Source organism: Homo sapiens, chromosome 1 (genome assembly GCF_000001405.40).
Source record: "Homo sapiens chromosome 1, GRCh38.p14 Primary Assembly".
NCBI classification, from domain to species: domain Eukaryota; kingdom Metazoa; phylum Chordata; class Mammalia; order Primates; family Hominidae; genus Homo; species Homo sapiens.
In genome coordinates this window covers 204,261,892-204,289,609 of record NC_000001.11, presented here as the reverse complement: position 1 = coordinate 204,289,609, position 27,718 = coordinate 204,261,892, and the positions used below count along the sequence as shown (strand labels likewise).

The following is a 27,718-nucleotide window of genomic DNA, read 5'->3' as shown; positions in this document are numbered from 1 at the left end:
CTCTTGAGGGTGAATGGAGCAAGTGGGAATGCAGTGCAGCCCCTTTAAGGAACCCGGCCAGCCAGCCACCCCGCGGGCTGCTAGGAAGGCAGCCCAGGAGATAAGATAAGGCCCCCTGGCAGGTTTAAAGCAGGGTCCTGAGCCACAGTGGCTGGGCTACTGATAGGCAAACAGGAACCAGGGGTGATAAGGAGGAGGTGCCAGCTACTAAATCCGGGCTGGCAAGAGGAGGAGTAGCCAAATCACTCCTCTGGGGCCTGAAAGGAGAAGGGGCTATTAATTGTGGGTGTGTAGGGAGAGGGAACTTGTATTCTCTGTATATCCCATTTATGATCATGGTAAAAAAGAAAAATCCTACTGGGCTGTACTTAAAGGCACTCTGTTTCATATGGAGTAAATGCTCAATAAATATAGGCTTATTGAGTTCCTTATGCTCTAGTGAGATGCTCTGATATGGGGTTTAGAGACTACCTAATTTCTTCCTCAAATGAGGAAAATCCTGGCAAGGACTTACTCTCACAAGCCCGGCGCTGCTCATTTGCACACATCTGCATAGATTTGCATGTGTCCTGCTTGTAGATACTTTTAGATTTCCCCCAAATCAGTTGCCTATTTTTAAAGGATAAAGAGGGAATTTATCTCTTCTTGTTCTTGCTCACCTTCCGTCTGTATCCTCCAAAGACACTAAAATAATTTCTGCAACTTTGAACTATAAACAATAACTGTGGTTGCATAGTTTATGCAGATATGAAGCAGTTCCTTGACTGACAATGTGTTTCTCCTCTTAATCTCTATTACAATTCCTAGTGCTGCTCTCCAAACTTCTGAGTGGCGCAGAGAGACATTAAGGTAAAAAAATAAAAATAAAAACAAACCCTCTAGCTGAACAGCCAGGCTCAAATTGCTTAGAAAGCTTCAAGAATTAGTTCACTCTACCTGGACAGAGCAGTTAGAGGCAGTTCCATGGATCTGAAGACCACCTTCCCACTGCTTCCCATCCCAGGGCTAGGGATGCTGTGACTATCTTTGTCTGCTCTCCTTCCTCCAGGAATAAATAACAATATCATCCCTCCCCCAGATCCCAGTTCCTCTATTGGCCCGCCAGGCAAATATTTCATAATGTGGGCTCATCCAATTGGGCATCGTGCCAGAGCCAAACGCCTCAGGTTGCAAGTGTGCTCCAATCAGGCGGGGCGGCCTGGGTGGGACTAGAGGGCTCTCCTTCTCCACATGGGAGGCGGCAGCATTACTCAGGTGGATGGCATCAAGGTGGGAGTTGCTACTTTCTCAGGGCAGAGTAGAAGGGACAGGGCTGTCCATCAGCCAGCTCCGGCTGGCTGAGGCAACCCAGCACTGAAGGGGTTAAGGCCAGCCAGCATGTGTGGCTGTTAATGATTGCTACCCACCAGGGACCTGGTGAGTATTAAAGGAAAACCTTCTCCCTACTCCTCAGTGTGAAAGGAGTCAGGGCTAGAGGCAGCAGAGGGAACAGCAAAGAAGAGCCGGTGAGTAAGTGGTTATCTGTCTGGTCTATGTTTGTCTGGGTGGCTCTGGAACAGAAAAGGAAGCCTAGATATACCCATTCTATCAGCCAGAGTGGGCTTTTGTTACAACCAGATACAAATTCTCAGCTTGAGGCCAGATTCCAGTATCATTACTATTTATTAGAAGGAAATCTTTAAAATTATCTTAGTCCAAGGGAGTGAACTGCTCAGCGCAGAAGCCAGAGATACAAACCATTGTCTGTCCTGATGTCAAGACAATGGTTTTGTGTGGCCACCCTGAGCACAAAGCTGGAGCTGCTAGTCTTCCTCCTTCTCTCTGAGCCATTGTCTCCAGAGAGGCGCTCGGTAGCTCTGGTCAGAAGCAGCGTCGGCCTCTCTTGTGGGCCGATTTCCTGGATGGGGCCACGGGAGGAAGGTGGAGGGGACAGAGCCACAGGAGACTGGCATGGCTGTGCTCCTGGTTTTATCCTTTTACTTAGCAGAGTCAGGTGTGGTGAGATGTAGGGTAAGACAGAACCTGGCGGGGGTGGGTGCAGAGAGTTGCGGGGAGAACTCTTCACTCATTAAGAAGACAAGGTTGTCAGTTGAGAACAAAACTGAAATCCAGGGAGAAAGAGAACCAACCTTTTGCATTTAGATTTCTGTTGCCCCCATTCCCTCAACTTCCCCTTCAGGTCCCTCATCCCTTCAACCTCCAAAACATTTGTGCTCTTTGACCCTGGCACCTTCTAATGACAGTTTTGTGGAGGGGGTGTGGACAAGAATTCCTTGGCTTGGAGGAGGAGGTGGACGCACTGGCTTTTCTCAGCTGATGCTATCTCTCTGTGTGTGTACTCATGAATGCCCACGTGATTTAAAAAAAAAAAAAAAGAGGGAGACTGTCACCAAAAAGGAAGTGCTTACTTTACTCTCCTCCCGCCCCCAGCTAGGAGCCCTTTTGTTCCCTTGCCTCTTTCTTGGGAGGAAAGAGATTCGATGACATAGTGATGCTAGGTTGAACCTAGGGAGGAACTCGGGGCTCTGGAGAGCCTATTAGGTGGGAACAGGGTGCTCCCTGTGCCAGTTTAGAAAGCAGATTCGAGCGATAAGGTAAACCCAACCCCCTTGTGGCTTTCAGCTGTGGTGCTTCCTCTGGCTGGGCTGCCCATGGGCAAACAGAAACCAGGCACAATAGGGGGAAGGTGCCAGCCACTAGACCCAGCAGGGCGAGAGCAGAAGCAGCCAAGTTTCTGGGCATTTGAGGCCAAGAAAGAAGGGGAAGTAGAGTATAGGAGAGGAACGGGGATACTTGTTGTGTTCTGCCTCATATTGAGAGTCAGCCACAAATGTGACTAGCCAACCTCCATCCCTACACTCCCAGGAGAAGTATACTGGGATTGTTATTTCCAGGCAGGGCAGGGGGGCTTCATGGGGGATGCAAACTGTGCAGTTGCCCCACATGCTTGGTTTAATGCTCTGCTATTGCTGTCTTGAAATCCTTAAGTTTTGCACAAGGGGCCCGCAAATTGTGCAGCTGGTCTTATTTCCTGGCCCAGCCAGAAGTTGCAGGTGCAGAATAGTTGCTCATATACTCCAACAGGTGTAGGCAGGCTCACCTGTTACTCAGGTGTCACTTATGGAGGCCGGCTTCTGTCCCGGCTGGCACCTGTGCTGCATCCCTTTCCCTTTCCTCCTCTCTGTTCCCCTCCCAGAGTACTCTATTCCTCCTTGTCACAGCCTCCATGCCCAGTCTTTCTTCACGGCTGCTGCGTGGCAGGACAGGGGTGGGAACAGCAGTGTCCCTTGTCTGACTGCCTCCCTGCCTTCCTTCTCAGGCCCTCTCTTTTCCTTATCTGGGCTATAGCCAGCAGGTTCTCTAGGCTAGGTCTAGGCCTAGGAGCACCTCTTCCGTTCCTCTGAGATTGTCTTCCCTCCCCTCTGTAAGCCCCGGTTATCAGTGGATGCTCTCTGGCACCTGCTTCTTGTGATGTCTGCTTAGCAACAGGTTGTTTACCTGTGATTTCCATAGGATCCAGGTCTGGATGAGTGCTGGGTGGGGAAGGGGAGGTGCAGGGAAGGAAGAATCCTAAGCCTGCTGTCCTTGGTGGTACTTCCTCTACCCTGTCCTCCTCCATGCCAGCTTCTCCTGCTCTGGACCAAATGGCCCCACAGAAGACCTCCCTTTCCTCCTCCTCCCCCAAGCGTCAGCTAGAGGTTGGCCAATCCAGGAAGGAAAAGGAAAGCAGGAGGGAGGAACAGGTCCTCTGTGTCTCCAGCCTCCTCCCCAACTCTTCTTCCTTCTCCAACTCTTCTCTCCCAGCCTCCTTAAGCTGCTGGATGACCTTTTCCAGTGTTTCCTACCAGGCCAGTGCTGTTAGTAATGATACTTTCAAACTGTGCAGAGGAGTCTTAATGCATGTGATTTAAAAATAATGAGCCTGGCCAACACGGCGAGACCGTGTCTCTACTAAAAATACAACAAATTAGCCAAGCGTGGTGGCCCGTGCCTGACGTTCCAGCTACTGGGGAGGCTGAGGTGGGAGAATTGCTTGAGCTCAGGGAGCGGAGCCTGCGGTGAGCCAAAATCGCACTACTGAACTCCAGCCTGGGATACAGAACAAGAACGTGTCTCAAAAAAAACAAAAACAAAAACAACCAAAAAAAAACCAACAACAACAACAAAAACAACAAAAAACCCAAAAAAACGAAAACAATGGATTGTCCAGATTAATTCTGAGTGAACTTTGGAGTATATCATTTCTGATTTTTAACTTTTTGTTGTTGACAGCAGATTTTCCTTTCTTTTTAGCTTAGTTTAGGTCTATGAGGGAACTTGTATTTACTGAAGACACTGAGCTCATCAGCTGGTGGAAGGATACACTGGCTTAGAATTGCATTTCATAGAATTCAAAACTATTAGAACTGGAAGGTGGCTTAGAGAACATCTAGCCTAGTGCTGTCCAATAGAATGTTCTACAATGATGGAATGTCCTGTGACTATTCTGTCCCGTATGGTAACCACTAGCTACTGTGGCTCTTGAGACACAGTGAAATGTGGCTAGTGTAACTAGGAACTGAAATTTTAATTTTATTTAATTTTAATTATTCAAGATAGAATACGGCTAGTGGCTATCAACTTGGTGCAAATTTAGGATAGTGCTATTTATTGTATTCCCTTATTTTATTAATGATTATAACATTAGCCACTACTAAACAACTCAATGTGCCAGGCATTCTTCTAGAGGTTTTAAATATTTAGTCCTCCCAGCAACTCCAGTATCGTTACATGTTGCAGGTGGGGAAACTGAGACCCAGAAAGGGACAGTGACTCAGTAGTGGTCAGTTACCAAGACTCCTGACTCTGAGACCACCGGCCTTACCCTTTTCCTTAAGGACAATCCACACGCTGTCCATTCCTTGCCATCATGTGCCAGCTTTTTTCACAACTCTCCAGTCCCTTTCCAGATCTCCCTCTTCCTCTCGGGGGCGTCAGGGGAGCTCACAAAGGATCGTCTCAGTCTGCAGCAAGTGCTCTCCTAGGCACAGTCATTTTCTGGCTGGTTCCTTGGGTGGCCCTTGTTCCTAGGCTCCCTTTGGATCCCCCACCAGCAGGCAGCAGTGCAGGGATATCGCTTTGCCCTCAGAGTCCTTGGCAAGCTCCCCAAGTACAGGGGAAGTTCCAGATTCCTTGCTCCTGGCAAAAGGAGGTGTTCATAATTTCCCACAATCCACCTGGCTCCAGCTTACCCTATTACTCCCAGTCTGAGAGAGAACATCAGCTGAGCCCTCCTTGGGGGCCGGAGGCAGAATGGGTCTCCCTGGGCAGGTGAGGAGCAGCACTACATTAGAGCCTGCTGTTGCCCCTCAACCCTTGCTGTGCTACCCTCCAGCCAGGAGGCTCCTGCTCTCCAGCTCTGGCTGGTTTACTGCTTTCCTCTTCCCAGGGCAAAGCTTCTGCTTTGTAGACTCTTATCAGAGTCTGGCTGGCCAGTAGGGAGGGGAGGGACAGGAGGGGGCATGAAGCAGATGCACTGTGCACACTGATCCCGGCGAGAGGGATTTGAGGCTGAGCTCCTGTCTCCTTCAGCCGCTATTCAGCATCCCAACTGGAACAGCACGTGCCCCCTCCTCCAGGCAGTGGTGAGCCTGCTGGCCTGCCCTACAGCTGCTCCATCAAACTCAAACAGTTATTCAGTTCCCCTGTGTGTGAGGTGCTGGGCAGGGGCACAGCAATAAAGGCCAGGCTGTGGACAGTGTTTGTGTGGCTGCCCTTCCATGCCCCTACATCCAGGCAGCTGTTGTCAGACTAAAGTTTGTGGGTAGCCCCCAGCCCACATCACACACAGTCCCCAGACCTGTAGCCCACAGATATTACCAGTGAAAGAGTTTGTGGCTTTCATTACTGTGTTCTTGGAGCAGACCTTGAAAAGCTGGCATCTCCCCCTGAACCATGAAGCTCTCTCCTGCTTTCCTAGGGGCAGGGAGCTCAGATTGGGTGCATCGCAGGAACAGAAAGAAGGGAGCCCAAGACTCAAATTTTTCTGACCTCTCCTGTCACTATAGCTGGGACAATGCACCTCAGCTTCCCTGATTCTAAAATGGGCCTTCCTTGCCTCCCTCCCAGTGTAAGGACCAGAGATTGCATGCGTTTTATTTTTCTCTTCATTCCACATGCCTTCAGAGCATCATAACCTTTCTTCCTCTGCTCTCTGGTCCAGTGGGAGATTTGTGTTGTCTGCTCAACAAGGCATCACTCAATACCATTGTTTTACTGTTAAAATGAGAAAACTAAGATACCAGACAGCTTGATTCTCAAATTGCTGGATTGGGAACCAAGAAGGCACTGGTAGCTTTTGAGGATGGGGAAGGAGAGAGATCAGCCAGCTTCATAACTCTCCAAACACCCACTTTGTAAAATTCCTTTCGTTGGGTGGGGCAGGGTGGGGTCGCTGCTCTCCGTAGGACACCAGAAGCAGATCTGCTGAGTTAGGGATGCAGAGACATGGTTTCAATGACCTTCCATAGACCCGGCGGCGGACAGCTGGGCTGCCTCAGCCACTGAAGGGCAGGGGTTTGAGATTCAACTCAGAGCTGGAAGGCGGCGGGGCGGTGGGGGGGCATAATTAATTATTGCCCTGCCCTGTTACCCCTTGGGATCCGTTCCACATTGCTGGCTGTCAGGAGAAGGCAACTTGGAGGCGAGGGGGCTGGGGCCTTTTTTCTCTGCTTCTGTCTGGCTTAGCTACTGAGGAAAGGCTGAGAGGAGGAAAACCCAGAGCTGTAGGCAGCTGGTTCTCCTTTGAATTCCCCCTCTCTTTAGAAGGGAACAAGAGCACACAGCACAAGGAGGAGCTCCAGGGAGCTGGATTGCCCCAGTTCTCCAATTTGGGTCAGGGTGAAGGAGAAAGTGTCTCCCAGCCTGCCCATGGCAGCTTCTGGGTGGTAGAATCGCAGTTCCCCACAATTGGAAGACACTTCAGTGTTGAGACAGTTAAGGACTGGCTGTACCCGGGAATGATATTCAATAATTCATCAACCAGAAAGGATGCTGGCCTGGAGTCTTGGAGGGCCCTGTGGTGCCAGGCATTAACTCTTTTGTCTCTGGGTCATGGAGATGTGAGGAGGTCTCAGACCCTGGCCCAGAGATGGGGCAGGGACACTCGAGGGACTTGGGGGAGCAGCTTTTCACCCACCAACATGGAAGAGCTTCAGTATTTGAATCACTGGCAGAGTTATGCTATCTACTCTGGTTGTCTTCATTTTTCAGCAGACAGATGGAATTCCCTAAAGTAAAACAACCAGTTTAAAGATGAACCAAGCTAGGGTGGGAGGTCAGGATGAAGTTCCCCTGTATAGTATCCATGTTTTCTCTCATGCACACACACGTGCGTGCACACACATGAGCTTGAACCCGTTACCCTGACTGAAGTACACCTTGTCCTCCTGCCCTCAGTCTGCCATCTTAGGCCTTCCTATCTCCTCTCATAGGAATAAGGGACCACCCAGGCCCAGAGCAGGGGCTGGGAGACACTACAGTGAGAAAATGGGGGAAGGACAGCACCTGAGCTGGAAGGGAAGAAACCTGGACCTGGCCCCCTGATTTGTGATTTCTCTCCCTTGTCCACGGAGCCATCTCTTCTATCTTCTGCCTGTGGTGGGAGCTGAGCTCACGTAGAAGGCCCCCAGCCTTCCATAACTGCCCATAACAGGTTTTGGGATGGGGCTGGGGGTGCGGTGTGGCTGGGCAGAGTGAAGCAGGAAAGGGAGCAGCATGAGTCTTGTCTCCTAGACATGCAGCCGAGTAGCTTAGAACATTTCAATAAACTGGCTTGGGGCAGGGAGGTACCATCTTCTTGACAGTTTGGAAATAACTGTGGCATCAAAGGGGGGATGAGCAAGGGCAGAGAAGAAAGGTGAAAGCAAATACAAGGCTGGGTGACAGCCACTGGCAGCTGGTTCCCAGCACCCAGAGAACTGGTATTTTGATCTTCAAGGAGCACATGGAAGAGAGACAGTAGGGGTTGTTGTTTTTAGAGACAGGAGGGTCTTGCTCTGTTGTTTTTTAGAGACAGGGGTCTTACTCTGTTTTTTTTGTTTTTTTGAGACGGAATCTCTGTCTGTTGCCCAGGCTGGAGTGCAGTGGCGCAATCTCGGCTCACTGCAAGCTCCACCTCCTGGGTTCACGCCATTCTCCTGCCTCAGCCTCCTGAGTAGCTGGGACTACAGGTGCCCGCCACCAGGCCCGGCTAATTTTTTGTATTTTTAGTAGAGACAGGGTTTCACTGTGTTAGCCAGGATGGTCTTGATCTCCTGACCTCGTGATCTGCCCGCCTCTGCCTCCCAAAGTGCTGGGGTGACAGGTGTGAGCCACCGCCCCCGGCCTTTTTTGTTTGTTTGTTTTTGGTTTTTTTTAGAGATGGGGGCCTTGCTCTGTTGTTTTTTAGTGACGAGGGTCTTGTGCCTCAGGTTGGGGTGCAGTGGTGTGATCATAGTTCACTGCAGTCTCGACCTCCTGGGCTCAAGTGATCCTCCTGCCTCTGCCTCTGAGTAGCTGGGACTACAGACATGTGCTACCATGCCTGGCTAAGGCAGTGTTGTTTGGAGGGGTTCCTTCCCACCTGCAAATACCTAGAAGTGCTGCCAGGGCCTGACCCTCTTTGACCTCTTCTTTATGTGGCAGCAATAGGTAGGAAAACAGAGGGCCTCTGATGAGAAGTGGCTAGGAAAGTGTATTTTCTCCTGGAAATGGCAGGGGGAGCTTCAGGAATCAGGTGCATGAAGATGGCTGGAAACATAAACTGAGTTGGTTTTTAATTGGGACAGGATGCTGAAGCAGATAAGCCTCCTTGAAAATAATGATGAGATCCAGATGGGGAGGCACAGAGCAGGAGCCAACCTTCTCCCCACCTTCCCCTCCTCTGTGGCAGCAGAAATCCTCTCTGGAGCATGGACAGTCTCGGCTTGGAATTTGCTAGCTGGGAGAAAGAAGGAAGTGGAAGGGATGGGACCCCCTTTCCACTTGCCTTGCATGCAAACCTCTCTCCACCTAATGAGCTGTAATGCTGGAAGCCAAGGCGTCCTCAGGATGGGGAAGCTGGGCCAGGGCTAATTCTTTGTCAGCAGATTCTCAGGAGCTATGGAAATGAAGCAGCTTGGTGTACAGCAGATAATCAAGAGAGGCCCAGTGGGTGGAAGGAGTGGAGTATTTCTCCAGTCGTTCAATATTGATCACAGTGGGGTTCTGGGCATCCAGCCTGGGAGTGTGTGTGCATGTGTAAACATACATGCCTGCAAAAGATCGTGAAACTTGGATTAATTTTGCCACTCTTGACAGTGTAGTGCCAGGTATACTGCACGTGGAGGCTGACTCTCCAGGGGGATGTTTGGAGATGAAGCAATGCAGAGTTATCTCTATGTGAGGTACTGTAGGGGTTGAGGATGTCTCTTGAACTACAGGAAAGCTTTAAATAGGTGCAGAGACAAAGGCCTGGAAAAATAGAGAGGATCTGCTTCTTTTCTTTGTAATTTATCGCTCTTGAGACTTCCAGAGTGCCTGCCCCTGGCACTCCCAGCCTGTGCCCCATACACGATCTTCTTAAGCCTGGGACTAAGTATTTTTCATTTTTTCGCTCCTTCATCTGGCATATATCTTAATTTGTTTTTAAGTAGAATGATCATAGCCATTATCTCTTCTGCAAAAAATGGTCTATATCTTGCAAGTTTACAGCTATTATTTCATAGAATTAGTGTCTGTGCTGGTGAAGTGAGCACTATTATTTCATGTAGTTAGAAGGTACCTCATTTACACATGAGAAAACTAAGGGCCCAAGAAATAAAGTCATATTCCTAACTCAGGTTGGATCTTGGACTGAATGTTTGGTCCTGCCATGTTTGTTTCCACTGATGGCACTGCCATCAGGGCCACCCTCATTGTGGATAAGTGACCACCTACTGGACTGCTCTGGAGTTTAGGGCTGTTTCTACCTCCACCGCACAATCTCCTTTACCACTTGAGATTTTCCCTTCTCTTGGGTGGAATTTGAAAGGTCCATTTGGGTATGTATTCATGGATTCATAATCATTTGTCCTTGACAAATGGAAGCCTTTTGACATCCCAAAAGGAAGGAGAGAAGAAGGAGAAAACGGATTACCTGTCCTTGTTTCCCTTTTTAATGTTCTGCCTCTTGTAAGTTCTTCTTGATGTCTAACTAAAATGAAAATTTGCCATACTCTGCAGTTTATTGGCAAAGGGAAAGAACTGCTGCTAGACATTCTGTGTGCAGACTTAATTCCTAGGAGTTCAGAGCTCTTGATGAGCAGGGGAAGCCCCTGAGCCTTCCTTCGTTCCTACTCCCTTGTGCTATCTTTACAGGGCATAGGAGAAGTAATTTAACTTGCAGCTTAAGCAAAGGCTGTGGGAGGCCCCTGAGCTCAGCTTGAAGTGAAAGGGGATATTTTTGCCTTCTAGAGGAAGAAAGCTCATTTTCCCAAAGCGCCCCTACCCCCTCCTCCTTCTGTGCAGATGAGCTTAATTTTCTTCCCGTCCTACTGAAGGTGGATCAAAGCCAAGCTATGTATTCAAGGGGGAGCTAGGCAGGGAAGCTGAGTGAGGGGGCGAGGGGGCAGAAGCAAAGCTTCTCTCATGGAGAGGAAGTAATTAATTTTAAGAGAGAGCTAAGATAGGGAAGCCCTCGGTGATAGAATGTCAAACTCCAAATGCAGGTGGTTAAAAATTAAGTCAGGGCTGGAGAGTTTCTATTATTCATTCATTCAACAAATATTTATCGAGCACCTGTTATGTATGGGCAGGAACCTCAAGCCGGCATCAGGAGAGGGCCCAAGAAACTGGATTAGGGACAGGGAAAGGATGTGATCTGAAAACCGAGGCCTCCTGTCACCAGGATAAATCATTTGCAAAAGTCCCACGAAATAGCTGAATATATTGACCTTCTGGATTTAAGATTAAGCTGTTTAAATATCAGCAGCGGTTGACCCCAGTTACATCCTACCAACTTGTCTCATTATGGGTTAAATAATAATGTTGTCCATTTGCTTTTCCATTCACTGATCACATTATTCCCCAATCAAGTTCTTGCTCGATCCAAAAAATTAGATTAGCCCCTTCCTTTCAGTGTCTGTTGTGACATCACAGAATTGCCATAGCAACAGACTGTGATGTCAACAGACTGCCTGGTGCTGCTAAAAAGAACCACGTTGGTCAAAAAAGGAATCTGTCATGTGAAGACAAAATGGAATAATATAGAAAGCCAGAGGAACTGAAACGTGATATCAAAAAGAACATCTTGGCAGGATAAGATAGCAGTGGGTCTGGAGCCTCCTTTGCTAGAACTCTTTACAGAAAACCAAGGAACTTAATGAGGATTGATTGGAGAACAGGCTTGCCTAGAAGCAGGGGGATGGCAGCGATGACCTTCGGAAGGCCCTTGCAGTCCAAGGATCCTAAGACATGAAGGACATTAGGAAAGGGGGGAGCGCTGACCATCTTTAGCCGCTGAAGAATTCAGGGGAATTAACATCGATACAAACCTCCTTGCTTCTGAGCAGATCTGACAGTCCCCAGCTGGAATGTATCATCTCGTGTCTGGGAAGATTTTCAGCCATAAACACACAGTGACCCCCTCTCAAGCCCCATTTGCTGCCCTCTTCCTTGCAAGCCTTGAGAGGAAGCTCTCCTTTAATATTGCCTGAGCAGCCCCATCCTAGCCACCAGCTCTGGTTCCACAGCATCCACGCCCATCTGGTCGACTTGCTTCTCATCGGTAGGACTGCCACACAGGGAGGGAAAGCAACCCCGTGCTGTCTGAGGGGAGCAAGTCGGAGGGACAGGGGCAGAGGACCTTCATTCATTATGCTCCTGTCCACACAGAAGAAGGCTGGGCAGGCTGACCGAAGAGAAGGGAGAACTGCTCAATCAATCTCAGCTTCTCAGCAGCGGCAGCAATAACAGCAGATGAATCGGGAGCTTCATTTAACCCTTATGCCCACAGGATCTGAAGGATCTCTGAGAAGCAAGTTGATTTTCAGCTCAGGAGCCTGTATTGTGGGTTGAGAATTGGGGAGGCAGGAGGACTGTCTCCCTACAGGTCGGGCTGGCATGGGTTTCAGCCGTGCAGATGGGAATGCAGCCCCAGACTCCTTCACCCGTCCAGCTACTCTGCGTCCTTAGCTCACTGAGGTCGGACTACCTGGGAGTGCTACACCTGCTCCGTGTATGCCTGTCTCTCCATTTCAGCATTTTCTCCTTGGGGTGCTGAATGGGGAGGATATCATCCCCTCCTTGTTTATTCTGCCTCCAGTCCTCTGACCAGTAGCATTCTGGCCGAATACCAGGAAGCCACAGGCCTACTAGGGCACCTAGGCGACCCCTACCACCACCCAAGGAGAGTGCCCTCCTGGTTCTCCAGAGCCAGAGCCAGGAGGAGGGAGAACTGCTAGAGACTCTGCCACCAATCACTCTGCATCTCTGCCACAGCCTTACGAGTTGGACCAGAGGACTTACTTCTCAGAGGCATGGTAGGATCAGGGTGGCCGGCGGGTCCTCTGAGGCTGCCAAACTGGGGACGGAGCTGCCAAAAAGATGTTGAAGTTTCGGGCTGATCGACGGGTCAGGTAGGGATGTCTTCCACGGATCATGAGCCAAGTCAAGTCAGAGCAAGCTGAGTTGGCAGCTCATCCTGCTTGGATCCGGGGGCTTCAGAGTGAGGGGTCTGCTTGAGATGACCTGGAGAAGGAAGCATAGTTAGGTCAATGGTTGCTGCATTGCAGTGCTTGTGAAGGGGAAGCTATTTTGAAATTGGTAGTGCCGGGATAGAATGAGGACGTCATTTGTAGGGGTTGCTGGGTAGGAAAGTCTGGGGCTGGGAGAGATGTGCCATTCCCTAGAAGTCTTGTGATGGTTGGCAGCAGACTGTGTGTGTATGCTTCTGTGTGTGTGTGTGTGTGTGTGTGTGTGTGTGTGTGTGTGTGTCTGTGCCAGTGCCTGCAGGGAAGATTCCAGCAGTTACCATTGGGAACACACAGAGCAGAAGGAGACTGGAGGGTCAGGGCAGGGGGCGGGTGCCCTGCACCACTGAGAAAAAGCAGACAACTTGACACCTCAAAGGACACCGTAGTTGCCACAGACTGCTTGCCCCCCAGACCACCAGATGGGACAGATTTAGGGGCAGACAAGAGTAACGGGAAACAGTTGCCCTTCCTTGCAAAGATCCCCTGTGATTAAATTGAGGAGTGTGTCCTTGTTGGACCTGGGAGGGAGGTGGGAATAAAGTTTGGGAAGTGGGGAGTGGATTATCAACGTGCTAGACTCAGAACCCAGGCCTGGTGGACACGCGCCTGGTTTTTGGGTCCTGGCTGGCAAGCCTGGGCTGCGAAGCCCAGATTTCCACATAGACTGTAGGCACTGCCTGCTGTGCTTTTATCTCCTGCATGTCTTTGGATTACATCTGAGCACGATAGCTTTGGAAACTGAAAAAAAACACTCTTTGATATTATCTTTAGCTTTAGCAGACAGCCCAAGGGCTGGGATGTGTCCTGGGCTATTGAAAGGGGGCCCCCAAAAGGTTATTTTCCTTCTCTGATACAACTGAAGGGACTAAGCTAAGATCTCCTTCCTCTGCTGCTGGCTGACCTGCCACTTGTCAAGCAGAGCCAGCTCTTTGCTGTGGGTGTGCTTGAGTGGCCCTGTCTCCGTGGCCTCTGTCCTAGTGCCTGTTCCTTGCGGGAGTTTGGCACCTACTCTGGGTTCTCACAGTATTTCTCAAGAGGAATGGGTGAAAAGGCCCTTAACTCATCTAGTCCCTCCACTGGCTGAATGCTTGAATCTCCACTGCTACATTCTTGCCAAGTAGTCACCGCTTACTGGATCCATCTTGGGGGTTGCCATTATGGCTTAGACCGCTGCATCAGCCCCTCTGCGCTCTGTCTGCTGCCTTCCTCCCCATCTCCCCTGAGAGCCTCCTGGGGAACTGTCCTGACACTCAGCCAGCCGGAGGAGCCACAGCAGGTCTTCCCAAGGAGGCTCCACGATGCTGCTCCCCATCTGCCTCTGCACCTACCCCCCACCCCCCAACCCCTGGGTTCCTGCTCCCTTCTGCTTCCTGGCAGGCCATCCTCACAACGCCCTGCCCCTCTCCTGGCCACAGCATCCCTTAATGAGACTGGACTGTTGAGCCAGCACTGACCTTCATGCCTGACAGCCCCTGAGGTCTCAATGACATCAAACAGCCCTTAGACAGGAGACCCTGGACTTAGGGTGTGGGTGGGTCCAAGCCCAAGCTCAAGAATGGAATTTTTTGAGCTCCCATTTCCTTTTAAGAAAGAGACGGAGCAAAAGCAGGAGAAGGAGGAGGAGTCCAAGGTCACAAGAAAGTTTTTTCAGCAAATAATGGGGGAGCTTTTTTTTTATGTGGCTCACTGGCAGACGCCGTCCCTGGGAGAGAACCTGCCATGCGTGAGGTCCTGATGTGCTGAATTGGCTGTTGGAACCCCTCTTCCCCACACTTAGGATAACCACTGAAAGAGTTCAGTGTGGCTTATTTCCAGCCTCAGAGAACTCTAGTAAGTAGTTAGCACTGACTAGTGGGAGGTGACCAGGCTTCATCTCTTCCTTCCCCCACCCCGCCCCCACCCTCATCCAGATGTCAGCCCAGGCCTCCCATGGATCCCCCTGGAGGACAGAGGCACAAGCTCCTTACATGATCACCTGTCCCTGTCACCACCCAGGGTCTGTCCACGCATTGGCTTTTGTCTCTGCCTTCTTCATCTTTACCACAACTCTTCTGTTTTTCCCTCTACAGCCACAATGAAAGACGGAACACATTTCTACACCCAGTGACTGGCCAGGTCCCAGAGGAAAACAAAAAATTTGACTTGAAAATGTAAGTGTGTCCCCTACTTGCTGTTTGGGCTTTCTGCCCTTAACCACTACCATCCCACTGCCTCCTTGCAGCTGGAAAGCAGAAGGCAACAGGGAGGGGAAGGAAAGCAGAAGGGCTTTGCAGTGACTCACCTCGGTTCTGAGGACTGGAAGCATCTGAGACCCATCTGGCTTGACACCCTCATCCACTTTTCCTAGGGTCTAGCAAAAGCCAGGGTGGTGCACCCCACAGGTTGAGCTGATGGAGTAGAAGACAGGTATGAGGCTGGCATAGCACCCAGGGGCCTTTGACGGAAGCGCTGAGAAAATCTGATATGATCATGAGAGCCAAATGCTAATTCCTCTCACTGTGGATCCTGGCTCACCAAATGAAAGGAGAAAAAAAGAAAAGAGGATAATTAATCTACTCTCATAGGCCACTAAGCAGTTGTGTCTTTTAAAGTAGAAGGAAAGGATTTCTAGATCCCCAGGGTCTAGATTTTAAAATAAATGTCCAGGGCTGGGAACAGGTGGCTCATGCCTGTAATCTCAGCATTTTGGGAAGCTAAGGTGGGAGGATCACTTGGGTCCAGGAGTTTAAGACCATCCTGGGCCACATAGTGACACCCTGTCTCTCTAAAAAAAAAAAATTAGCTAGGCATGGTGGCCCATGCCTGTGGTCCCATCTACTCTGGAAGCTGAGGTGGGAAGATCACTTGAGCCTAGGCATTCAAGGCTGTGGTGAGTCTTGATTGTGCCACTGTGCTACAGGCTGGGTGACACAGCAAGACCCTGTCTCAAAAAATAAATAAAATAAATGTCCAAGATCCCTGACATATAATTTCAGAAAGGCTAAAGGAGTGGCTGAGGTGACCCCTCAATGGCACTCAAGAGATCTAATTTTGTGCTGATGCTGAAACAGTGGGTGGCAGGGTGTGGAAAAAGGATGGGCTGTTTCCATTGTTTCTTGGATCTCACCAATCTCTTTTCTCTGGTCGACTTGAAATCAGATCGACCTTGGACATGTCCAATAAAACAGGTGGGAAACGCCCGGCTACCACCAACAGTGACATACCCAACCACAACATGGTGTCCGAGGTCCCTCCAGAGCGGCCCAGCGTCCGGGTAAGTCCAGCCCTCAAGGCAAGCTGTTGGGCTGGAAACGTCTTCAGTGCATGTTTAGTGGGATCTCTGGGAATCCTAGGAAATTGTAGCCTGTCCAGCTATTTCTGCAGGCTCCAAGAGTAGGCAAGGTGACCCAGGAAGAGAGTGGAGAGTAGGAAGGGAAGAGGGCTCAGATCAGAACCTCGTAGAAGACCAACATCTAGACCAGGGGTTCTCAACCTCAGCATTGCTAGCAGTCGGGGTTGGATGATTCATCGTGCTATGAGACTGTCCTGTGCATTGTAGGATGTTGAGCAGCATCCCTGGCCTCTGCCCACTAAATGCCAGTAGCACCTCTTTTCCAGGGGTGACTGTCAAGGATGTCTCCAGACATTGTCAGTTGTCCCTTGGGGACAAAATCTCCCCAACCTCATTGAGAACCACTGGTCTTGAAGGATAGTCACGAAGGTCATGGTGATTGAGAGCTCAGAGAGGGGGAAGGAAGGAAGAGAGCCCCAGGAGAAGGAAGTCTAGAGAAGAATGTTGCAAAGAGGGCCAGGAAGACAAAGGCTGAAAGTGTCCTCTGGGTTTAGCAGCAATGTGGTCACAGGGGACCCTGACAAGGGCAGTTTGAGTGGTGTGAGAAGAGCAGAAGGCAGGCTGGAGAGGTAAAAGGGGGGATGGGAGAGGAGATGTAGAAAGAGCATAGCATAGAAACCGCTCTTCTAAGGAACTAGAAAACAAATGGTAGTATATCATCACATAATGGAGCACTTGCCAAAAATTAAAATGAACTGGAGCTGTATGTATTAACAAGGATAAATCCTGAAAATATAATGTTGAGTAAAAAGCAAGTGGCAGAATATGAGAAATATGATATCACTTATGTAAATGTACAGACATGAAAAGCAGTACTACATATTTATAGGAACATCTGCAGTAGAAGTGCATAATCATGGACAGGAAGACTAATTTTGGGTCAGTGGTTGCCTCTAGGGAGGAAGGAAAGGTAATGAGACTGGGGAGGGGCTTGAGGGAGTTTTAGCTCCGGTTGTCTTGTTTTATTAGGGAAAAACAACATGAAATGATGATCATCATATTATTCCCTACTTTTCTGAAATGTTTGAAATACTTCAAAAAAGTGTTTTTAAAGACACTTGACTGTGATGGGAAATGGAAGGGTAGGGAATGGAAGCTAGAAGGTAACGCAAGACTGGAGGGAGGTTTCATTTGTTGGTTTTGTTTTAAGATGTCAGAGGCGTGAGGGGAACAGGCCAGTAGGTAGTAGGTTCAGGAGAAAGAGGACAGCCAGTAAGTCACGTTTCTATGGAGACAGAGGGAGTCAGATGCAGAGGTGCTGTTAGACTGGATGGGGAAAAGCCACCTCTTCCTGAAACTGCATTAAAAAAGGCGTGTGAGGCTAGGGAGTGGGTGTCTAGGAAATTAAAGAGACTCTCACATGATGTCCTCAACTTGTGCAGAAAAGTAGGAGGCAGGGTTTTCTCCTGAGAGGAATGGGGTGGGCGGGGAAGCATCAGGTGCGGGACTGGGAGCTTGAAAATACGTGATACATGTGCCACATTTTCTTAATCCGGGGAAGGGGGAGGGATAGCATTAGGAGATATACCTAATGTAAATGATAAGTCAATGGGTGCAGCACACCAACATGGCACATGTATATATATGTAACAAACCTGCACGTTGTGCACATGTACTCTAAAACTTTAAGTATAATAATAATAAAAAAAAAGAAAATACGTGATACAGGTTTGGGAAACAGGAATGATGGTCAATGAAGGACACATGAAATGTTGCCCTATAATTTCAAAGGATCATCTGGGGCAGATGATTCTGTGCAGCCCTAAATCTGCAGGTTTGTGTGGTTTTCCTCCAGCATGCTCATAGCCTGGCTGTGAGAGCAGGGAAGGCAGGTAGCTGGATTAGCCTCAGTTTGCCGAGAAGCTGTGGCAGAAAGATAGGAGGCCAGGATATTCAGGAGTCAGTGGGAGGTTGTCTGGAGTGGTAAACTATGGGTGGAGTTTACCATAGTTTACCACTGGAGAGAAGAGGTAGAATTATGAAAGTGTTGGACTGAGAGAAAAGGGAAGGATTTAGAGATTTGCATAGGGTTGTGGTGACTTCTTCCAATGGCAAATCTCAGTCATTATATGTGTATTTTTGTTAGTAATGTTCAGATAATAATGTTATTTCCCAGTTGTGGGAGTACTTTATAATAAAGACCAATTTCTTCCTTACTTCCTTCTACAAACAGTTGCTGAGTGCTTGTTATGGCTGGATACCTTGCTGGCTCTGGTGATAAAGAGATGAAAAAGACAAAAGTTCCTCCCTGCAAAGAGCTCATGGTGCAATGGAAGAGATAGAAAGCTGCATTGTGACAGGTTTTAGGCAAGGGGTGTCCAATCTTTTGGCTTCCCTGGGCCACACTGGAAGAAGAAAGATTGTCTTGGGCCACACATAAAATACACTAACACAAACAATATCTGATGAACTAAGAAAAAAAAATCATAATGTTTTAAGAAAGTTTGTGTTGGGCTGCATTCAAAGCCATCCTGGGCTGCGTGTGGCCCACGGGCCATGGCTTGGACTGTCCAGATGTGTGGAGAGTAGTGTGCAGCTAACCACTCAGGGGGATCAGGACTTCGTGGAGTGGGGGAGTCTGCAGCAAACTTTAAAGCATAAGTTGGGATTTGACAGTGGCCAAGGGAAGACGGGTCCTCCCCCAATGCCAGGGAGCACACTGCGAAAGGCACGGGAGGATGGAGAGAACCAGAAGCAGGGCCTGTCTGGTGAAGGGGCAGAAGGTGGGTGACAGGCCCTGCCATATCTCACAAACCTGTCCTCTGTGCTGTGCTGAGGAATCCAACCTCTCTCTTAAGTGACGAGTGCAAGAGAGAAATAGGATTATTTGTGTTTTGGAAAAAAACCTTAGTTCATTGTAGAGGGCGGACAGCAGGAAGTGATGAGGACCTTTAAGACCACGGTAGTGGAATTTGAGAGGCAAGAGCAGATTTGAGAACTATTAAGAAGACAGACTCATCAGCCCTGTATACATGATTGTGTAATGGAACAGAGGAATGAGGGACCTATGTAAGATAACGTGGAGTTCTGGGGTGGGTGGCTAGGTGGCTCATGGTACCATTCACCAAGATGAGAAGTGCAGAACAGGCTTGGTTAGAAAGAAAATGAGTTCAGTTTTGCACTTACTTAATCCTGGCAGACAAGCAGGCATAAAATGGGTTGAGCTGGAAGACAGGTCTTGGCTATAGCTTAGGGAGATTTTATCATATTGCTTATAGCTCAAGCAATGGGTATGGATGAGGTAACACAGGCACGATGTAAAAATGAGAAAATAAAAATAAAATAATAAAAGTGTGATTGCGGCCCACCAACACTTGGAGAGTGGAAGTAGAGGAGATTGAGAAGGAGTGGCCACAGATGGAGGTATTGAAAGGGAAACAATAGTCTTGTAGAAATCCAAAGAAGAGTTTCAGGAAAGTCAGAAAGGTTAAGACTGCCCAGTGCTTTAGAGTGAGTGGCCTTAATTCCATAACAGTGCAACAGCCATTTCAGAAAATAGGTAGAGGAGGTTTAGGAGTGTTGGAGGGAGAGAAAGTTGAGACTCTTCCCAGGAGCCTAGGACTGAAGAGTAAGTAAGGGAAGGTATTACCTCACAGTGGACATTGGGTGTATTGAAGGGGGAATTTGGGTATGTGTGTGGGAGCATGAGAGAGAGACAGAGACATTTTCAGATGGAGAGACTTGAGTGCATCTGCTAAGGAGAAGACATCAGTGGAGGAGGAAGCATCAGAAACATATTTGAGAGGAGATGATCGGTGGAGCTAAGTCTCAGAGGACACAATGGGTTAGAAGTGTTTAGCCTTGGAAGGAGGGCAGCACCTCTTCTTTTGACATTGGAGGGGAAGAGGCAAAGATAGTGTAAGGACAGTCATTTTCTAGGTAAAAGGGTGTGACATTGAGGGAGTGCATGTCTAATAGCCTCAAATTTCTCTGTGGAGGAGCAGGTCCATTGTCGGGAGGACAGAGGCAGGGGAGGTCGGGGGGCTGGGAAGGATGGTGAGGGTGTGGGGTGGAGCTGCCATCTGGGGCTGAGCCTCCTGGGATTGGGACTGTGGCTCTGTGGCAACCTCATCTGTATGGCAGTGTGATTTTTTTTTTTTATTCTCCAGCAGCACCATAATCTGGCTATGAGTGCAGGGAGAGTAGACAATTTGATTAATTTGGAGTGCCGTATTGAGTTTTAGAGAAGGTGAGGTAGGAAGACAATAGATGAGGTTTCTGAGAGCCGGGTTGATATACTCCACCATGGGGCCAGGCTTTGTAGGGAAGTAACGAAAACCGGGAGGAGCTGATGGGTCCAGAAAAAAAGACAAGAATTGAGGAGCTGGGGACCTCAATGGAGTAGAAAAGCTGGTGTTGAGTTAATGGAGTGAGAAAGCCCAAAGGGTGGAATGTTGGGATCAGAAAGCAGGAATCCTGGAAGTGAAGATGTTAGCCGCAGAGGGGCTTGGGGTGCTGAGAAGATTAAAGGTGTAGCCCTGGGAGCATCGCTGGAGTGCAGGTGGAGGGTGCTGGAGCCGGGGACATCAAGGCTGTGTAAAGTTAGGGCATTGATGGGTCATGCTCCTGAGCAAGGAGATTTTCCACAGTGATGCAGGACAGAATGAAGAGGAGGACTAACATCAAAACCCTTAGACTGAAAGAACGATTGAGAAGCGGACAGTGATGAGAAGGATTAAACAGTGGGAGATCAGGCAGTGGTGCTTCCAGAAAGGTGGACTATTGCCATAGTGTGGAAGAATGACAGGGTCCACGTGGCAACACAGAGCTAGGAGAACACCCGTCTCTCCTCCTGGCTCTGTGTTATGTTGGGCATGAGATGACGAACAGGACTCCCAGAGCAGGAGGATGCAGGGAGTTAACTTCCAGAACACACTGTGGAAGAGAGAGGGAGTAGGAGGTTGGGAGTAGGATAGGCCAGAGTGAAATTGGAAATCTTATTATTTTCACCTCCAAAAAAAAAAAAAAAGGCTGTGAGACAGGGAGGACTATTATTTTATTTTTTGGAACTATTATTTTGAGCCCTATTTTAGAAATGAGAAAAATTGCCAAAGAACTGAAAGTCTCTGCTCTTGAATTAGTAATAGATCCAAGATTCACACCTGGGCCCCTTGGTGTGAGGGCACCCCAGGGTTAACCCTAGGGAGAAGCAGCTCTAGCAGGGGTGGCTCCCTTGCAGATAAAGCAGGAAGGAGGAGACTGGGGACCTAGATCAGCTTCTCTCTCTGCCCCCAGGCAACTCGCACAGCCCGCAAAGCCGTCGCCTTTGGCAAGCGCTCACACTCCATGAAGCGGAACCCCAATGCACCTGTCACCAAGGCGGGCTGGCTCTTCAAACAGGTGAGGCCACCCTGCGGTTCTGGCCACCGTAGCCTCCACCTTCTCCTCACAGAATAAGGATTCCTCTGTGCTTATGACAGGCTGTGTATTTTTTTGGTATGTCCCCCTGCTGTCTCTGTGAATGAGTCTCCTAATTTTATAAAGGCTCAGAGAAACTGAGTATCTTCCCAAAATCACACAGAAAAATTTGTGTCAAACTTGGGAACCCAGCCCGGTTTCCTGATGGACAGATGCAATGACCTTGAAACATGCTGAATCCCCAACCCCATGGGAACAACCCACTAGCTCCCCAGCAGGTCCTGCTTATTATGGTGGGGGGTAGGGGTGTCTCCTGCTAGTCTAGGGTCCACCGATTGGCACCAGATTGGCCTTGCCACTATCCCTGCCTGCCCTTCCACTCACTCATTCTGCCCATCTCTTGCCCCTGTTATCCTCCCCAGGGGAGGCACTGAATGACAGAACTGGAAGGTCACAGGCAACAATCTAATGTCAGTTCCTTGCATCTGAGGTCTCCAGGGGTTGCTGCCGTGCATTAACAGCAGAGCCGCAGCTAGGGCCAGGATGTCCTTATAATTGGCACTGTGCCCTTTTCCCTGCATCCCATCTCCTCGTCCACGTCCAGCTTGCAGCCCTCACATCTGCCTCTCCCATGTCCCGCAGGCCAGCTCCGGGGTTAAGCAGTGGAACAAGCGCTGGTTCGTCCTGGTGGATCGCTGCCTCTTCTACTATAAAGGTGAGCTTGGCCCTTGGACTGGCAGGGATGGCAGGAAGCCAGGACCCACTACTCTTTCTCATTCTGCCATATCCCCGAGCTTGGCTTTGGATGGGCACCAGCAGGGCAGATCTCCTCACTGTGGTCCTGGCACCAGTGGCAGCAGGATAAAAACAAAGCTCACTTGTTCACTCACACACTCACTTACTCACCCATTCAGTTCACATTCAACAATGCTTGCTAGGTTTCAGGCAGAGTTCCAGCGATACACTGGGTGAACAAGGTGGTCATATGGCTGGTGAAGTCCTGGAGGAATGGGGAGAGAGGATGAGCACAAAGAGGAGGAGGTCACTAGTCACTACTAGTAGGTCACCTACTAATTGGAGCTTGTGTGTGGCCTTTCTTCCTATCCCACTGGAATGCACAGTCCCATCTGTGAAGGCAGGAACTTTTGTCAGTGTTGGTCACTGCTGTATCCACAGCACCTAAAACACTACCTGCCATTTAGTCGGTGCTCAGTCAATACTGAATGAGTGAACATGTCCTCTGGCTTCACCTTCTCTGCTGACCCCAACACCCTCTCCCTACTCTCTATTTTTAAAAGTTGTGCCAAGGCAGGCTGAGGGCACCAGCAAGGGTTGAGGTCAGTGATGGTGGCGCCATGTGGATGCAGGGGAGGAAATAGGCGTGAGGGATGAGAGGAGAGAGGGTACAATTGTTATGAAGCAGGAGAGGCTCTTTCCTTCACTCCCTTGGCCCAGGAAGGCACAGCCCTGATTTCCAGTCCTCGTGGGAGCAATTCAGTGAATCATTAACTTTGGCAAACAAAGGTTGTACCCAGTGACCCTGCAGAGCACTGCTGTTGCTGGTTGCTGTATTGCAGCCACCTGAACCCCAAGGAGGGAAATCAGGAAGGGGCTGAGCATACAGAGTCCAGTCCCAGAGAAAAGCCCAAGACTCAGGGAGAGGAATCTGCCCAGGCCCAGGACCGAGGTGCTGAACCTCCAGGATACGGGGCCACAGTGGAGCCAGAGTGGGAATGAAACTGGAGGAAAATTGGGGGTCTCTGCACAGGAGAGTCTTTGGGAAGCAGTGGGGGTAGAACCTCAAGGAGCTGAGAACCCAAAGGCTCAGGACACACCAAAATGGGGGCCACTGTTCACAAAGAGATGGACCCAGGACTCCCCTAAATGCTGGCCTGGACTCTGTCATGCAGGGGCTCCATCTCTGGAGGACAAGAGCCTCAGCTCTCCTGAAGGCAGCCCTGGGGTCCAACCCCAAGTGCCTCCTACTACTCTGGTTTACCCCTTCCTCCAGGTACCATGCTGGGGTCCAAACAGAGAAGCTGATCTGTGGGCCAAGTATCGTGTAGATGTGATGAGTAGGAGGAGAAGCAGGGCTTAAGGAGTTTATAACCCTACAGAGGTTTCTTCTGAACCCTAGCCAAAGGCTTTTCAGAGTCCCCAGCCTGGGGAACAAATAGTGATCCCAGGGAATTGGAGAGGGCCTTGCCATAGTCTCATAATTGTCCCCCCCACTGTCCCACAGAGCACTCCCCGCCCTTTCTTGCTTCCTGCTTCCAGCTGGGGCCCAACTGGCCAATCCATCAGGCTCCTTTGGAGATCCGGGATGAATTATGTAATAGCTGGACTGTTAGCCCAATCCCAGGGAGGAGAGGGCCAGAGCACTCCATGCAGGGAGCACTCCTTTTCCTGTGGAGACATAGAACCTCAGCAGGGATCTGCAGCAGAAAAGGGCAAAGCAGGCTCTGAGTGCCAGGGAGAACCTTAGAAAGAGTTACCCAGAGGCACCAGAGAGCAGAAGGTGGGATAGTCCACTCTACAATGATCTATCCCATCACCTTGTTACATATGTCACTGCTGGGATGGTCTCATTTAGCGAGGCAGGATAGATAGGATAGTGGTCAACAATGCTAGCTTTGGAGTTCAGTTTTTGTGTTTGAAGACCAATTTTACCACTTGTTGCCTAAGTAACCTTGGATAAATCATCTAACCTCTTTGTGTCTCAGCTTCCTTACCTATAAAATGAGGGTAATAATAGTACCTCCTCATAGGTTTGTTGGGAGGATTAAATCCATGAAGGCATTTCACTTAGAACAGTGCCTGAACGCTTCCAAAATATCAGCTGTTATTTCTTTGTTTATTTGTGCACTAGAATGCAAATTCCTTTAGGGTAGGCACTACTTCTCTCTTACTCACCTCTGTAGTCCCAGTGTCTGGAACAGCATCTCCAGGGCCACCACACTCCCTAACTCCAGGGAGTGTCCTCTCGGAGCATGTGTGGTGGCCCTGAGTGCCTGACAAACAGGAGGTGAACAACAAATATGTATTGATATTTATCAGGGAGGGACAACACACTCCTCCCCACCCCTGGCGCACGCACACGCTTGCACACACACACACACACCCTTCTTGTGCCTCTCTCCCTGACAGATGAGAAGGAAGAGAGTATCCTGGGCAGCATCCCCCTCCTGAGCTTCCGGGTAGCCGCAGTGCAGCCCTCAGACAACATCAGCCGGAAACACACGTTTAAGGTCAGTTGGCCTTCCCTTCCCAGGGCAGGTGGGGAAGGAAGGCCTGCTCTTCTAGAGCCTATGGGAATGGAGAAGGGCCAAGAGCCATCGCTCTAAGGAATCCCAGGTGGTGGTGGCCATAGCAGTGGTGGTGGGTTGGGGGAGGAGGAGTAGTAATGGCCCCTAGACTCAGCACAGTCTCTTGTAAGGCTAGAGCAAGGCTATGCTGGGACCTTCCTCCTCTCTTGGGGGTTGGGTGGGCAATTCTCCTAAGAGTGGGCCAGTAGAGATGTGTTTCAGCAGCACCACAATTGTTACTGGGGCAGGAATAGTTATGTTCTTAGTCCTTGGACTTTTTGCCCAGTTCCTGCCCCTGGGAAATCCCTCTGGGCAGAGGCAGGAGCTGTGGCTGGTGGGTTCTGAGACCTTTTCTGGAAAGGCTTCCTCCCCACCGTGGTTTCAGGAAACTGGACCTACCCCCAAGTCAAAGTTACTCAAATTTCAATCTTTAACGAATATTAGAAGTTGAGTTTCATTCCACAAGAGCTGCAAATCTTACGAAGAAACCATTTGAGAGAACAAGTGCACAGGAACATGGGCCTTTCCTGCCTGCTCAATATCACTGCCTTGAACCCCTGGGGAGCCACCCGTTAAAGATGTGCCTGCAGCTGGCTCATCCTAGGCCAGTGTTTTTCCACGTTTAAAAAGTCACGACCCATCAGAAACTATAAAAATCTCATGCCCTTTCGTATTTTATGATGTAAAAATCATAGGTCCCTTTTCATTTTCCAAATATAAAATTATAATACCAACCACACATTTTCTTGGTACAAAGCCCTCTCTCCCCTAATTGACAATTGCTGTCCAAGACCCTTCAAAGCTATGATATTAGATGACTGGATCTGTAGGTCACTCCTTGAGCTTCTAGAGCCTTAGAAGAAGGGACTCTGTCCCTTCCTGTCCTTCAGGCTCCAGTCACCTGGCCACAGAAGAGAGCTGGGCAGCATGCACAGGGCCCGCTACAGGGAGCAAGGAAGGACTTATTTGGCACATAATTAGTTTCCAGCCTCCCGGGGTCTTGTATGCCAGAGGTGTGAAGAGAATGAACAATTAATAAAGCTCTGACTCCAGGGAGCCAGTTCTAGCTGGGGAAATAGGAACAGGCTGTTTAACCAACAACAAGTAGTCCTGTTATACACAGACACACACACACACACCCACACACACAATCAAACAGCCTGTCTCACCCTCCCCACCAGACCTGTGCAGAGACACAGACACGTTCCAGCTCGGAGCTCTGCCAGCAGCAGGCGTGAGATAAACATCCCCGAGTGACTGACACACTCCCTCCACCACAGATCCCAGATATCACCTCTCTGCCCACCAGCCCCTCGCCTCCTTCCCCCACACTGCGCTGCCTCTTTTAAACCTGACTCTGAGGGCTGTGCTCGGTGGCCCACAAAGGGTTCTGATTGTGGCTATTCCATGGCCCTTCCCCAGGGAAGGGAGGGGAGCTGAGACAGATGGGAGGCTTGTCCTGTTGTGGCCACCGAGCGAAACTCTTGGATGGCTAAGAATGAGCCAGGAACTGTTCCTGCCCAGGCTACCGCTGAATGCCTTAACCTCTCCCTAACTCTGGCCCCACAGAGGCTCCGGGGGCTTTGCCCCGCTGGGACAGCTCCCTCAATTCTCTGGCCCCCTTTCATAGTTCCAGGCCAGCGCCCCTACCCACTCCCCATCAATGGCCCTGTCTTTTCCCAGGCCCTCTGCCTTCTCCTGTCACAGCACTTGTCCCTGTGCCTCTGCTCTCTCCTTGTTTCCCGCGGCATGTTTTGTCCCCCAGCGTGACTGTCAGCTCTTCAAGTGCAAGAGCCTGTCTTTGCCTTCCTTGTGACTGGTGCCCCCAGCGAGTTCTGCACACACAGGCTGCTCCCTGGATGCTCATTGAATTGATGAATTCATTTGCTGCCCGCTCCCACCCACCCCAGGACACACCCACGAGCCCTGCCTGTGTGTCTCCGCTCTACAATAACCCTGTGTTCTCCACCTAGAAGGCTTGCTTGGGCCCCTGGTCTCTCTATCCCCTATCCGTCGCAAGTCTCAGCTTCTTAGTCTTCACTGGCTTTTTGTCAACACCTCCCCTGCCCTCTCCCACACCTACATGCTAAGCCCTCTGCTGGAGGGTGGGGACCAGAGGAAGGAGGCCCACCCCTGCCTCTTGCTGGGTAATGGCTCCTGTCAGAAAGAAAATGAGGGCTGGGGACAGGTGGAGGCGAGGTGGGACCAGCTGCAGCTGAGGAATCTTTTGAGCATTTAGAGGGTGTGGGCTTGACGTTGCTGTTCAGGGGAGCCCTGAAGCTATCTCAACCCCCAGAGACCCAGGATTTAGGGCTCAAGGGGTCAGAGGCTGGAGTGAGGCTCACATCCGAGACTCTGAATCACTGCTAGATGTCCCCTGTTGAGTGGGCTAAGCTAGGCTACTGAGGATCTCACTGGGAAGTGTGCTGAGGTCCCAGAAAGCATTTAGTCCTGTGGCCTCTTTTCCTTGTGGCCTAAGAACTTTGAATTTCACCAGGCAGACTCTTTTCCCGTGAAATAGATGCATCAGTGAAGACCAGAGCAAAACCACAACTTGTCTGCAGTTGCAGAGCTGGTCAGGAGCAGAGCCAGGCTTAGCACTGCGATTCCCTGACTCACTCTCCACCACCAGCCTGAATTTCCCTGGTGCAAGCTCTCCACTCCCCACCCCTTGGTAGGCAGAACTGGGCATTGTTGGGTGCTGCCATTCCCGGGGGAATGCTGAGTAGAAGAGGACAATCTGAATATTCCCCCTTCCCTGTGCTCCTCACCGTTTCCTGCCACGTCGTCTTCTGTCTCTCCCTTTGGTGTTTGGTTGACCTGTTCTCTGCTTCTCCTCCTTCTGACCGCGTGAGGACCCCTCCTCTGGACAGGAGCTCTCTTCTGGGTTCCCGCCCGCAGTACCTGCTCGCAGCCACCAACTAGGTAGTGTGCCCCATCTGTATGCCAGTGCCTGCTTTGCATGCCTGCAGAGAGGGGCTTGGCTGTCTCTC

The 27,718-nt window shown here is 50.0% G+C and overlaps 1 protein-coding gene across 31 annotated transcripts in view, besides 6 other annotated features; it reads left to right on the top strand.

The window, feature by feature from the left end:
• PLEKHA6 (pleckstrin homology domain containing A6) overlaps positions 1–27,718 on the top strand; it is a 159,316-nt gene that overhangs the window by 88,559 nt on the left and 43,039 nt on the right. For 24 of the 31 annotated variants that reach the window (XM_047449464.1, XM_047449463.1, XM_047449459.1 and 21 more), the window contains 5 exons: positions 14,801–14,881; positions 15,870–15,984; positions 21,298–21,402; positions 22,063–22,135; positions 24,568–24,668. In XM_047449464.1, the coding sequence (XP_047305420.1) occupies positions 14,801–14,881; positions 15,870–15,984; positions 21,298–21,402; positions 22,063–22,135; positions 24,568–24,668 (475 nt within the window). The other 7 variants (XM_047449468.1, XM_017000690.3, XM_047449466.1 and 4 more) reach the window with 4 other exon arrangements.
• Positions 5,106–5,605: an enhancer, noted in NCBI's record as "H3K27ac hESC enhancer chr1:204253133-204253632 (GRCh37/hg19 assembly coordinates)". NCBI's record gives its function as "activates a minimal SCP1, AML or CMV promoter by ChIP-STARR-seq in primed H9 embryonic stem cells {active_cell/tissue: H9 hESC(primed)}" and the evidence as "EXISTENCE:reporter gene assay evidence [ECO:0000049][PMID:30033119]".
• Positions 5,606–6,107: an enhancer, noted in NCBI's record as "H3K27ac hESC enhancer chr1:204252631-204253132 (GRCh37/hg19 assembly coordinates)". NCBI's record gives its function as "activates a minimal SCP1, AML or CMV promoter by ChIP-STARR-seq in primed H9 embryonic stem cells {active_cell/tissue: H9 hESC(primed)}" and the evidence as "EXISTENCE:reporter gene assay evidence [ECO:0000049][PMID:30033119]".
• Positions 6,692–6,895: a silencer, noted in NCBI's record as "fragment chr1:204251843-204252046 (GRCh37/hg19 assembly coordinates)". NCBI's record gives its function as "represses an EF-1alpha promoter that drives an FKBP-Casp9 reporter gene in an ReSE screen in both phorbol 12-myristate 13-acetate-treated (for megakaryocytic differentiation) and untreated K562 erythroleukemia cells {active_cell/tissue: K562 | K562(+PMA)}" and the evidence as "EXISTENCE:reporter gene assay evidence [ECO:0000049][PMID:32094911]".
• Positions 13,676–14,511: an enhancer, noted in NCBI's record as "H3K4me1 hESC enhancer chr1:204244227-204245062 (GRCh37/hg19 assembly coordinates)". NCBI's record gives its function as "activates a minimal SCP1, AML or CMV promoter by ChIP-STARR-seq in primed H9 embryonic stem cells {active_cell/tissue: H9 hESC(primed)}" and the evidence as "EXISTENCE:reporter gene assay evidence [ECO:0000049][PMID:30033119]".
• Positions 22,852–22,996: an enhancer, noted in NCBI's record as "145 bp enhancer 91/92 fragment used in the MPRA reporter construct; PK_construct_19". NCBI's record gives its function as "activates an SV40 promoter by MPRA in HepG2 cells {active_cell/tissue: HepG2}" and the evidence as "EXISTENCE:reporter gene assay evidence [ECO:0000049][PMID:23512712]".
• Positions 22,918–22,931: a transcriptional cis regulatory region, noted in NCBI's record as "HNF1 motif; enhancer activity is reduced when this motif is scrambled". NCBI's record gives its function as "necessary for full MPRA enhancer 91/92 activity {active_cell/tissue: HepG2}" and the evidence as "EXISTENCE:site-directed mutagenesis evidence [ECO:0005528][PMID:23512712]".